Source organism: Homo sapiens, chromosome 10 (assembly GCF_000001405.40).
Source record: "Homo sapiens chromosome 10, GRCh38.p14 Primary Assembly".
NCBI lineage: Eukaryota > Metazoa > Chordata > Mammalia > Primates > Hominidae > Homo > Homo sapiens.
Window position 1 is genome coordinate 116,407,974 of NC_000010.11, and position 12,946 is coordinate 116,420,919.

Sequence of the window (12,946 nt, forward strand, 5' to 3'; positions counted from 1 at the left end):
ATTTATTCATTCTGCTGAGGTTAGACACGTGTTGTTTCAAGTTTGGGGCCACTATTCATAAGGCTGCTATGAACATTCTTATAAAAGCCTTTTTGTGACCATGTTTTCATTTACCTTGGGTAAATACCTAGGAATTGAATTGCTGAGTTATTGCTGATATGTGTATGCTTATTTTATAAGAAAGTGCCAAATAATTCTCCAAAGTAGTTGTACTATTTTATAATCCTACCAATAATGCATGAAAGTTCCAGTTACTCCACATTCTTATCAACATGGTCAATCTTTTAATTTTTTCCCCACCATTCTATCGAGTATGAAATAGTATCTTATTGTGTTTTTGATTTGCATTTTCTTGATGACTTTGTCATCTTGAGGCTTCGTCTACCTTTTCCTGTACTTACTGGCCAATGATATCACTTCCTTTACCAAGGGTTTGTTTAAGAATTTTGCCCATTTAAAAAACTCAGACTTATTTTTAAATTTATAGGACTTCTTTTTATACTCTGAATATACCTATGCCATTTATAGGAGCTACGAATATTTTCCCAGTCTGTAGCTTGTCTTTTCAGTTTCTAAATAACATCTTTTGATGAATAGAAATGTTTAATTTTGATGAAAGCCATTTTATCCATTTTTTTTAATGGTTAGTACCTTTTGTGCTCTGTTCAAAAACTCTGTCTACTCCAAAATTGTTAAGATGTTCTCTTATGTTTTCTTTCTAAAAGCTTTCGGGTTCTGGGCTTTACATTTAGGTCTCAGTTAGTCCATTTTTTTGTTGCTCTAAAGAAATACCTGAGGCTGGGTAATTTATCAAGAGAAGTGGTTTATTTTGGTTCATGTTTCTGCAGGCTGTACTGGAAGCTTACAATCACAGTGGACAGTGAAGGCAGAGCTGGTATGTCACACGGTGAAAGAAGAAGTGAGAGAGAGACGGGGGAAGTGCCAGGCTCTTTAAATGAACAGATCTCATGTGAACTCAGAGCGAGAGCTTACTCATTACCATGGAGATGGCACCAAGCCGTTCATGAGGGATCTGTCTCCGTGACCCCAACACCTCCCACCAGGCCCCACCTCCAACATTGGAAATCACATTTCAACACGAGATTTGGAAGGACGAACATCCAAACTATATCAAGGTCTATAATCTATCTCAAGTTAATTCTTGTGTATGTAGTGAGAAAGGGGTTTATTATTTTTTTCATGTGAATATTCAATTTTTTTGAGCAATTTTTTTTTTAGAAAGACTTCCCTGTTCTCCGTTAGATTGCTTTGGTCAAAAATCAGTCAGCAAAGCTCACTCTCCCAAGTTGAAACAACTTATGGACAAGAAGTTATTGAAATTAAATGGTGGCAGACATGTCAAAGGGATATTGCAGGGATTTGATCACTTTACGAATCTTGTGATAGATGAATGTGTGGAGATGGCAACTAGTGATCAACAGAACAAAATTGGAAAGGTAGTAATATGGAAATAGTATCATCATGTTAGAAGCCTTGTGACGAGTATAAACAATGGCTGTTCAGCAGGGAAATCCATGCCCCCTCTCCAAGGGGCCTGTTTTATTTTTATGTAAAAATTGGGTCATTTATGTTTTCATATTAAACTTTTGGTTAAATATACTTTTATGATAGTAAAACAAATCAATTAGTCATATATATTTCCTGCCTCTTTCTTCTGTTCCAGTGATTTATATGTCTGTCTTTTTTTTTTTTTAGACGGAGTCTCACTCTTGTCGCCCAGGCTGGAGTGCAGTGGCACGATCTTGGCTCACTGCAACCTCCGTCTCCCGGGTTCAAGCAATTCTCCTGCCTCAGCCTCCTGAGCAGCTGGGATTACAGGCGCCCACCATCACTCCCGGCTAATTTTTGTACTTTTAGTAGAGACAGGGTTTCGTCGTGGCTGGTCTCAAACTTCTGACCTCAGGTGATCTGCCCACCTCGGCCTCCCAAAGTGCTGGGATTACAGGCTTGAGCCACCGCGCCCGGCCTCTATATGTCTGTGTTTGTGTCAATACCTTGGTGTTTTGATTACTGTAGCTTTAAGTAGTAAGCCTTGAAATCAGGCAGTGCAATGCTACCAACTCCGCTTATCTTTCAAAACCGTTTTGGCTATTTTGAATCCTTTGCATTTTCATATAAATTTTAGAATCTGCATGTGTATTTCCTCACAAAAAGCCCTGATAGTATTTTACTAGGAGTTTCATTGAGTATATAGATTAAGCTAGAGAAAAATCAACATTCAATACTGGACATTCCAATCTATGAACATAATACGTATCTGCATTTATTTAGGTGTTTTATAATTTTAGTAACATTTTGTACTTTTCATTGTAGAAGTCTTATACATCTTTTTTGTAAGATATTTTCTAAAATATTTTGTGATTTTGGTGACTTTATACTTAGTATCACTTTAAATTTAATTTTATAATTGTTCATTGCCAGTGTATACAAATACATTTAATTTTTAATATTGCTTGTGTACCTTGTGATCTCGCTAAATTCTAGTAGAAATCTAATTCTACTAGATTTTTATGAAGATTCCATAGGATTTTGTTTTTACATACTCACTGACGTCATCTGTAAATAGTGACAAATTTGAAACTTCTTTTCCAATTTAGATGCCATTTGTTTCGTCTTCTTGCCTAAATGGGCTGGCAAGAACTTCTAGTTCACTGTTGAACACAAGCGGTGAGAGCAAACAGCCTTCCCCTGTTCCCGGGGAAAGGATTTATTGTTTCACCATTAAGTATGATGCTAACTGTGGCTTGTTTTTTAATGCCTTTTACCAAATTGAGGAAGCTCCCGTCTATTTCTAGTTAGGTGAATGTTAGCATTCTAATGATCTGTATCCTTATATATTTTATTCCATCTTCAAACATCTTCATGTACATTTTTAACAAAAGCTAAAAAGAAACAAACAAGTAAACAAAAACTGCTGCCAAAGCACTGAAGCTCCCCAAGTGATTCCAGAAGTCAGCTAAAGCTGAGGAATACTCTTAATGGTTCTGGTATTATTGAGTTCCTTGGGAAAGACATTTCTGAGTTGGCCTTTTCAGAGCTGTTGCCCACCTACACATGGTATTGTGTATTTCAGAGTGGAATTCCTCAATATTTGTTGCAGAAAACAAGCCCTGTCCCAATCCAGGCTTCTTTTCAAAGACCAACTTGTTAAAAATGAGTGAAGGGTAGGTACAGGCGGAGAGCAGCCTTCAGAATGTCTTGTGAATTCTCTAAGTTTGTTTGGAGCTGAAGTAGGAATGAGCCATCATCCCACTTGTCTTTACTGGACAGATCGTGATGCTTAATGTGGAATGCATGTGCCCGTGGATTGACGAGAAAGCTGGTGTCAATGCCAGTCTTCTTCCATGTGATAATCTTTGTTGTCTGCATCATCCTTTGAGCTTGACCATCTACTGGATGCAATTGCAAGGGCAATTCAGATAACCCGTTAGTTCACTGACTTGCCGAATATCAACTGAAAAAACCTGATTCTTTCACTAGGACACAGCATCAGAAACTCTTTTATCTAGTGATCTGTCAATTGCAAGCAAGTATGATTGTGCCATAAAGATCTATTTTGTTGCTGATTGCTCAGAGCCAAAGATAATTATTTTATTTTTCACACTTTTGGATTGCACTCTTGTAGGAAGGTGTGGATTACACTGCTGTATCTCTGTTTGCTGTTTTGTAATGTTTTCCCCCGTAAATCTCTAGAGTTTGGTTCTCTTGCCTCTCCCTTGTCTCCTCTCTTGTTAAGGGGAGGGAGGACACTGGGTTCTGTCCTGAAATCCAGGCCACTAAGGGATATATCCCTGAACTTGGACGTTCTCTTCTGGATCCCTCATCTCCGGTAAGGCACTGGCATCTGATTCCATGTGAATAAGGCTGAGGTTCTCCTTGCCATTCCTGTCAGAAAGATCAAGTCCTATCTATCCAGTCACCCTTTTCTTACCTTCCACCAGGCTCAACCATTCACACTAAACCTCTCACATAGCTTCACTCTGTCCATAAGTCCAAAACATGTATATCTCTCTTATAGTCCAGAAAGGAGCTTGTAATCGATATAAATTATATAGACATAATTACAGACACAAATCTACAATTTCTTGACGCTGAGACAGACTCAAGGGCTTCCTTTGGGGGTCGCATTTTTTGTAGATGACATTGTCCTTTAAGGATAAGTGTTTGCTTTCTCAGCACTGATTTCTTAATGTAAAGCAGAAGAAAGTGTGGTTTGTGTTTTTAATGTTCTGGCACGAATTCAGAACTCAGTACCTGCTTGATATTCTGGAAGGCATCTCTGTGATGGTGAATTTAAAATCATGGAACAAATTTTTTCTAGTGAGCTATAAAGTACTTCTGCAGTAGTTCATATTTATTGAACAAAAATGTGGTAAAAACTGAGTAGCTTGTAAGCAGTAAATATGGGTGCTTAGGTTCTTATTTGATGGGTCACTGGTGGCCTCTCAACATGTTCCTGCAGTTTTAGGTTTGGAACCTTTTTGAAGGGAGTTGGTGTAGCCCACTGGGGTTGCCCCACTAGTGTGAGGCTTCATTTGTTTATTACTTTGGTTGGTTTTCAGTTTTTTTCTCCTTATAATTAGACATACACTTTTTAGCTTTCAAGTAAACTGTGTAACGTCTGAATCCAGATAAAATTAGACTGGCTTCTATGTATAAACTCCTAGTGTCTCAGATTATATTTTAGAAAATTTATTGACAACTTGTTTATTGAACTTGCATTATTACCAGTTTATTGGATCCGGATTCTTAATAGTATGAGTCACTTCTTTCCCAAGACACTTTTCTAAGCTGTCCCCCTGCCTAGGTTGCTGTTGTTCTCTACAGCATTTCTAACAATATCAGCTATGGTGTTGATCATTGCAATGGACCACGTGAGGAAGTGTTCACTGTTGACTAACTCTCAAGAACCGTAGTATTCCTAGCTCAGGCATGACCATTTCTGAGGACTACTGCAATGTCCTCCTACCCTGAAGCTATTCTTTGTCTAGACCCCTTGAGTAAGATAATTTTATAGTCAAGATCACATGAATATTCACATCCAGTCAGGAACATTATAATATTGCTGAGTCTTCACCCTAATGGCAGGTTCATTTAAAGTAGCAGTTCCTGAGAAAATGTACACATTGTACACTTATTTATAGATAAAACTTTAGATACCACACAGCCAGAGCCAGATTTGGCTCATCTCCTTGTATTCTCATGCATACATTTTCTGCATTCTGCTGACTGTGGGCAACAGCTTTCTGCCAGTGTAACATGGACAAAATTAGTATGAGAATTCTCTTTGTTATTGTGATGTGTTAGTTATTGTGTGGTTTCGCTGGCTGGGGATATTAGTTGGGATGAGTTCAGTCAGATTTTATTGGTAATTTCATATCAGACTTTGCCCTGAGTCATCTAAGAAATGGAAAAAAATGAAATGCTGAAGGAGATACACAGGTCTTTAACATAGGCAACACAGCTCTTGGTTCCATTTTTGAAGGAACATGCTCTCAGCAATGTCTGATATTATGGCTGTGATAATCAGTGGTGCTACTCTCAGTGAAATAATGATGATGGAAGGTCTTACTTATTAAAATACATGAGTGGGTTCCATAAACTGCTCAGGGACCACCATTTCTTTTGCACAAAGGAAAGTCATCAAGGAAATCCTGGGGCATATACTGATCAACATCAAACTCATCAGTGTGTCCCAAAGTGCTCATTTTAAACCAAAGGATCTATGTGAGTACCAGGATGAAGGTCAGGAGTACTGAAAATGAGTTTATCTGCCCTTTCTGGCCCAGTTTTCTTCTCAATACAATCCCACTCTCGGCTCTGGAAAACAGATGGAAGATAAGCCTATACTTCCATGTAGCCCTTCACTGGAGAGAAAACAATTCTAACCCTAACTTGTTCCAAAATATTGAATATCCATATATACAACACAGGAATTCAAAAGGAACAAAATTTCCCAACATTAATCAAAATGGTCCTTGGCATGCAAAATTTTTTTTAGTTTCTAATCTCATGGTATTTCTTTCATCCTATCCTGTAGTCAGTCATACATACCCAACATTTGAGATCTCAGTAGACGGATGAAAATTTTAGGGTGATTTTTACTATGTATTTAAAATAATTAGTAACAATGCTTCCTCTTATTTTTTCCTTAGGGGTTACACTGCAGTCATAGCTGATGAGATGGTGTCTTTATTTCCCTTCTTAGGGTATTTCTGGCCATTTCTACAAATAGAATCCTAACCATTGGCCTTTCATCATTCATCAATTCCTTCGACACTCTTACTGAGCTCCGCCTCCTCATTCTCATGCACTGTGCTAGGTGCTGGAGGTAACAGGATGAGCAAAACAAGGCCCTGCCCTTGAAGAACTCACAGTGTAATAGGGGAGTTAGCCTTGTGCACAACCTTGTTTTCTACTACTTAGGAGCCAACAACTGAGAGGTGACCAGAACACATTATTATTTTTTTAAATAAGTGGAGGAAAATCATTTTCTTTTACAGTAATAGAGTTGAGGAAAGACTGTTCCATTTTAGGTCCACACTTGATTTTGAAGAGTCAGAAGAAGACAATTGGGGAAAGTTATTACAGTTCTGTATTTTTAAAATAATGGAATATATTTTCATCATGTATTTCTTAAATGATGGAATCACTTTTGCTTAGCCTTTGGTATTTCATGTTTTATTTATACATTTTATAAATGGCCATAAATGCAAAAGCGGAGAGAACAACTGAATAGTATGGGCTATAAACCCAAACTTTTCATTTTTGAGGATTTGAAACATAATGTAAACATTTGAATCAATTTAAATTCTAACCACGTTCATATATAATTCTTTTTTTAAAATAAAAACATATATGTGTAGATTCTTAGATTTGTATAGACAGAACAGAAGTTAAGGTAGGGCAAGAGAAGCCCAAAGATTATATGATACAATATTCCTTTTCAAGAAAAATAAAACAGAAAAATACTTGGCAACAGTAGCTAAGCAACATATTACAGAGCACATTGATTTTGAGAAAAAAAGACCTGTTCATTGTTGTATGAAAGACTAAAACATTTTAGAATACTATTATTTAAGATTAGTGTGTTATATATTGATGATACATCACTGTTTTATTCATTCGGTACTTATTTTACCTAAAAGTCTAAGTTTATCTTCGAAGTTAATGAAAGGGGAAAAGATCCTATTAGAATAAAAGATCATTTTAAAAGATGTTCAGAAATCAGAAATACCACTGTTTCTCTAGAGCAGAACATACTAAAAGTGTAAATTTTCATATTTTCTAGCTTAGATTGACTAAGTCCCTTTGTCTTTACACAATGAACATTTAGATGTCATCACTTTTCATTTTCACACATTAATTGTTTAAAATTAGTTCACTATAAGGCTATCAATTAAGACAATATATAGTATAAACATCATCCTGGTTTTAGTTGCTTTTTTTTCCCTAGAAATCCTTTAAGCTAGTTTATTTTTAAGATGAGAAATTCCATTGCAGTGATTACTCTTCTAAAACACATTTGGTCTATTTTGTTAAGTAGACTAATGTCTTCCACACATTGATCATTCTACAAACTACTAAAAGCTTTATTAATCATGTGTTAAATTTGTTAAGGAATTTTAAAAGCTTATGTACCCTACATATTCACTATTCCATGTGATACTTCAAAAAATGTGAAATTGGTTTGATAGGTACTATTTTCTCCATTTTATGTGTGAAAAAAAAAATGAGCAGTTCAACGAGTTGCCTGAGACTACCCACTGGGGATGTCAATAATAGAACTGGGAGAGTTGGTCACCCAACCGGTAGAGTAGAACCCTCTGTGCTTCTGAATACAGTAGCCACCCCCTTATCTGCAAGGATATATTCTAAGACCCCCAGTGGATGCCCAAAACCTTGGATAGTACTGAACTTTATACATACTATGATTTTTCCTATACCAGTACACCTATGATAGTTTAATCCATAAATCAGGAATAGTACTCTTGTGATGTGGGATCATTATTAAGTACGCTAAAGGTTACTTAAACACAAGTGCTGTAATACCATGACAGTGGACCTGATCATCTAGATGGCTATTACACGACTAATGGGCAGGCAGCCTAAGCCAAAAAGAAAATATATTGGTTTATGTAATGAGGAAGATCAAGGAAAATTCTGGCTTTAGAAATGTCTGGATTGTGCAGTTTGAATGTTATTATGACCTTTTTCTCTGGTTTTTGGCTTTGCTCTCTTCCTCCATGTTGGCACCATTTTAAGGTAAATTTTTCCGTGTGTCGGCGAAAATGACTATAAACAATTCTAGACTTCATTGTACTTTCAGGTAGTGAGTCTTAAGAGAAGAGAGTATCCTTCAAGTGTTTAAACAAAAACCTGAGGAGGTTCTGACTGGCCTGACCTGGGTCATGTGCGCATCCAGAAGTCCCACATCTGTGGCAAGGCAGCATCCACAGAACATCATCTCTATGATAGTGGATGCAGGGTTATGCCAGCGACATGTCTACCAGTAGGGAGAGCCTGTTGGGATAATAAAAATAAGAAATTCATATTATGCCATCTATAAAAATTTTTGCAAATATTTGAAGTGTTGGACAATATATAGTATTCCATTCAAAGTGATTGGCATAATTTTAGAAAAGTAAAATTCTATGAAATTATGGAAAATTTTAATACAGAGAGTGCATACTGCCTGCCTAATAAGGCTAATCTAACTTGCTGACCTGTTCTATCTGTCCTATTGATCTGTAGTGTTTTCTGTTTGTTTTCTTTTGTTTTTGTTTTTTGACGAAGTTTTGCTCTTTCTGGAGCAAAACTTCCAGGCTGGAGTGCAATGGTGCCATCTTGGCTCACTGCAACCTCTGCCTCCCGGGTTGAAGTGATTCTCCTGCCTCAGCCTCCCAAGCAGCTGGGATTACAGGCACGCACCACCATGCCTGGCTAATTTTGTATTTTTAGTAGAGATGGGGTTTCACCATGTTGGCCAGGTTGGTCTCCAACTTCTGACCTCAGGTGATCTGCCTGCCTTGGCCTTTCAAAGTGTTGAAATTACAGGTGTGGGCCACTGTGCTCGGCCTGTTGCTTTTTTTAATTGAACTATATTTTAGCTTCTTTTAAAAACAAATCAATCTTGACAATACTGAAACTACATTCCTGCGTGGAAACTATCAGCCATCTCTTTTATGTGGAGCAGCAGCAGCTGTTCCCTTCGATGGTTCATTTGCTCTCTCGTTAGCCACAAGCACCGTCACTCCCTATTGTCTCTAATGCTGAGGCTGATTTCACTTGCCCCTTGCACTTGTTTCTCCTAGAATAGAGAATTGCTGCCGTATACTCATATCTCTACTGGATGCGGAAAAAAGAAGCTTAATTCAGGCACAGTGGAAAAGAGCATCTTTCTTTGACGAAATAAAGAATATTCCTCCATGTGTAATATGCAAATAAAAGATGACTATATTGAAAGAACCACAGTTTAAGAGGCCAGTATGAATTAAATCATAATAATATGTCTAGGATATGGAGAAAATGAGGGAATGAAGAACTTAGACTGCAAAAAGGACTGAAATTTCAGCAAGCAATTGTTTTTAACTATGAATGAAATATCTGATGCTAATATAAATTAGGTTCTATATTAACTGAAAAAAATCCCCAGATATCAAAAGCTTTTACACATAACAAGTTTATGAAAGAGCATCATAGAATACAGCAGAAATTGTGTGTCTTTCACTGAGATAAGCATTTGTAAACTTCAGTTTACTGGAAATACTGTTGACAAGTATATTGAAGTTACTTCTGAATACTTACAGACAAGTCATATGAAGACAATTAAATTGGTTGCAGCATTTCTATTGCAGATGATGAAAGCACATATATAAATAATATCACCTAGTTAGCAATATGTAATCGGTGACATTGATCAGAATTTTTGTGTCAGAAGGTGAGAGGCCCTAACTGGAACTCAGCAAATGACTTATCTTTGTTGCTAGAAACGTTTTGCAAAATGCATCATCAATTGGTCAAAACCAGTCACTGTGACTCACCTCCTGCAATGAATAGTGTTAATGTGAAAACCTAAATTCAAGAAGGCTACATTATCCAAGAGACATAGAATTTAGATCTCCTAATTATGTCATTTTGCAGGAAGTGCCTTGTGCCAAAGAATTTAAAAGGTAATATAGTATGAATGTGTGGTAATTGACAATGTGAACAGAATAAAATCCCATGGCTGAAATCCAGATACTCCAGGGCTTCTTTTTATGAATTACATATATGGTTGCCTGTGGTAGTACATGAACTTCTGTGGCTGAATGCTGTGAGATATTTCTGGACACTTTTATATCATTCAAGAGAAAATCCCTAAGCAATCCCTGACAATGAAAAGTGAATCAAAGTATTTAATTATTTTGGCTGATATTAGAACCTATAGACTTTCAATATTTCCCTGCAAAGGCATTCACAAACAGATGATGCCTTTTGATATGGTTTGGCTGTGTCCCCATCCAAATCTCATCTTGAATTTTAAGCCCCATAATCCCCATGTGTCATGGGAGGGACCCAGTGTGAGGCAATCGGATCATGAGGGTGGTTTCCCCCATGCTGGTCTCATGATAGTGACTGAGTTCTCAGGAGATCTGATGGTTTTACAAGCATCTGGCATTTCCCCTGCTGGCACTCATTCTCTTTCCTGCTGCCCTGTGAAGAGGTGCCTTTTACCCTGATCATAAGTTTCCTGAGGCTTCCCCAGCCATTTGGAACTGTGAGTCAATTAAAACTCTTTTCTTTATAAATTACCTAGTCTCGGGTGAGAACAGACTAATACACCTTATAGAAACTAATTTGGCAAGAAATAACTTGGCCCAGTAGCCTATACTACAATCATTTTCCTCAAATGAGAGTCATAGCCTGAACTACATTACCAAAACTGTAGAGATTAAAACAAAATTCCAAAAGGTTTCTCTGACTTCCAGCTTTATGAAAATACATTAACACTGCTTAAGTTTACCTTTCTAGTTTATTATTGATACTATGAACAAAGGGGCTACAAATTGAAGTTTTTAAATGCAAAGCAATGAATAACTAAAAACTAAATACATTGCTGTTGAAATTCCAGAGCTGAACATATATCTCTAGATAATGATGATTGTACAAACAGAGCCTATACATGTTAAATAGCATCAATGTTAGTCTACTCTGTTTTTGCACATGAAACTAGGCCAATCAAATTATTGTTCCAAGCTGAATAATTTGTGGTTTAGGTTTCATGGCCTGACAGTGATGTCTAATGATAGATTACAATGGCAAGGAGTAACATATTGTGAAAGAAAACTTCAATAATGAAATACTTCTATTTTTTCAATATTGTTTTTACTTTAAAATGTCAAATATCTCTCTGTCATATGTTTGTGTTATGTTACATGCTTTTGTCATTATTCAAAAAACATACAGTATTTTTAAAAATTTCAATAGCTTTTGGGGTACAAGTGGTTATGAGTTGTATGAATTATATCGTGGTGTATTCTGAGATTTTAGTGCACCTGTCACCTGAGTCGTGTATGTTGTACCCAATATATAGTACTTTTATCCCACACTCCCTTCCTACCCTCCCACTTCTGAGTCTCCAAAGTCCATTATATCACTCTGTATGTCTTTGCATATTCATAGCTTAGCTGCCACTTATAAATGAGAACATACAGATCATAAAGTAATTTTGGTTGTTTTCTGGCACTTAACTAAACTGACATCTAATCTGCCTCACTGATTTATGTGATTGGCTGGCTTCTGTAGGCATTTGAATGAGTGACCTCTGCCTTGACCTAAGCCTCTATATGGTGCTCTGTCATCCTTTGATGAAAGACTATATTAAACAGAATAATCTATATGATTTTCATAAATAGAGAGTCCAAAGAGTAAGAATTTGTCAGAGTGTCTCCAGCACTGTCTAGAGGAAAAATGTATGCAGACCAAGGGCCTCAAGGATATTGTTACTGTGGAGAGAGATGCATTATCTTTTCCTAGACTGATAACAGTGACTATAAATGTCATTTAACTAGCTGTCCTTGATCAGATGAGACACTCACCAAGCAACAGGAACATTCCTGATCTGGCCTTAGGAGAGACCGTAATTACCAGGCACCAGAGTATCTTGTCTCTTCAGAAGTGAATCTTTTCCTTATACATTGTCACATTTTCTTTCTGCCTTATGTAGCAGCTTCTTGTCAGTTTGGGTAACTAAATAAGTCACTAGAGACTTATCACTCTTGGGCATCCTGACAAAGTATCTTGACCTCTAAACAATGGACCAGATCTTGCTACTTGTTTATATTTATATTTATAACTCAGTGTTCTAAAAACAGTTAGACCATACCCACTACTGTTCAGCTGAAATGATGTATGAGTATTTGGGAATAATAGTGAGAGGCTCCCTTACTACAATAATTTAGAAATAAAATTACTATTACTTTTACTTTGAAAGTAAAAGAAAATATTTCTTATGTGAATAAAATAAGTTAACTTAAGCAATGGTGAATACATTTGGAGAAATTTTGGGACTCTTCAAAGTGCTCATCAAAGTTGCTAGTAGGTAATTCAAAGAAAAGATAGTTTCTACTGATACATTTTTTAAATTTATTTTAATCTAATCTAGTGGCATTCCATCTTGAAAAATTTACCCAGTAGGCTAGCTGAATATTTAATGGACGTCTACATGAGAGTAGATTAGGCCAAGCCTAGAGTGCTCATGCTTTCAACCTCGGCCTGTGGCTGCTAGCGCTTTGCTAGGTAAGGCAAAGACAAGGTGGTTAATGGCCCCGATAGGCTTTTTCACAATAAATTAATTAATGTGGGTTTACATTCTTCTCAGAGGCGAATAGGCATTCTCTGACATGCACCCATTAATGTAAGTTATGAGACAAAGTATTTTAAT

At 36.8% G+C, this 12,946-nt stretch overlaps 1 pseudogene, besides 1 other annotated feature; it reads left to right on the forward strand.

The window, feature by feature from the left end:
• Nucleotides 952-1,031: a silencer, noted in NCBI's record as "silent region_2854". NCBI's record gives its function as "represses an Ori minimal core promoter by ATAC-STARR-seq in GM12878 lymphoblastoid cells {active_cell/tissue: GM12878}" and the evidence as "EXISTENCE:reporter gene assay evidence [ECO:0000049][PMID:35858748]".
• On the forward strand, nt 1,287-1,673 carry SNRPGP6 (small nuclear ribonucleoprotein polypeptide G pseudogene 6; annotated as a pseudogene).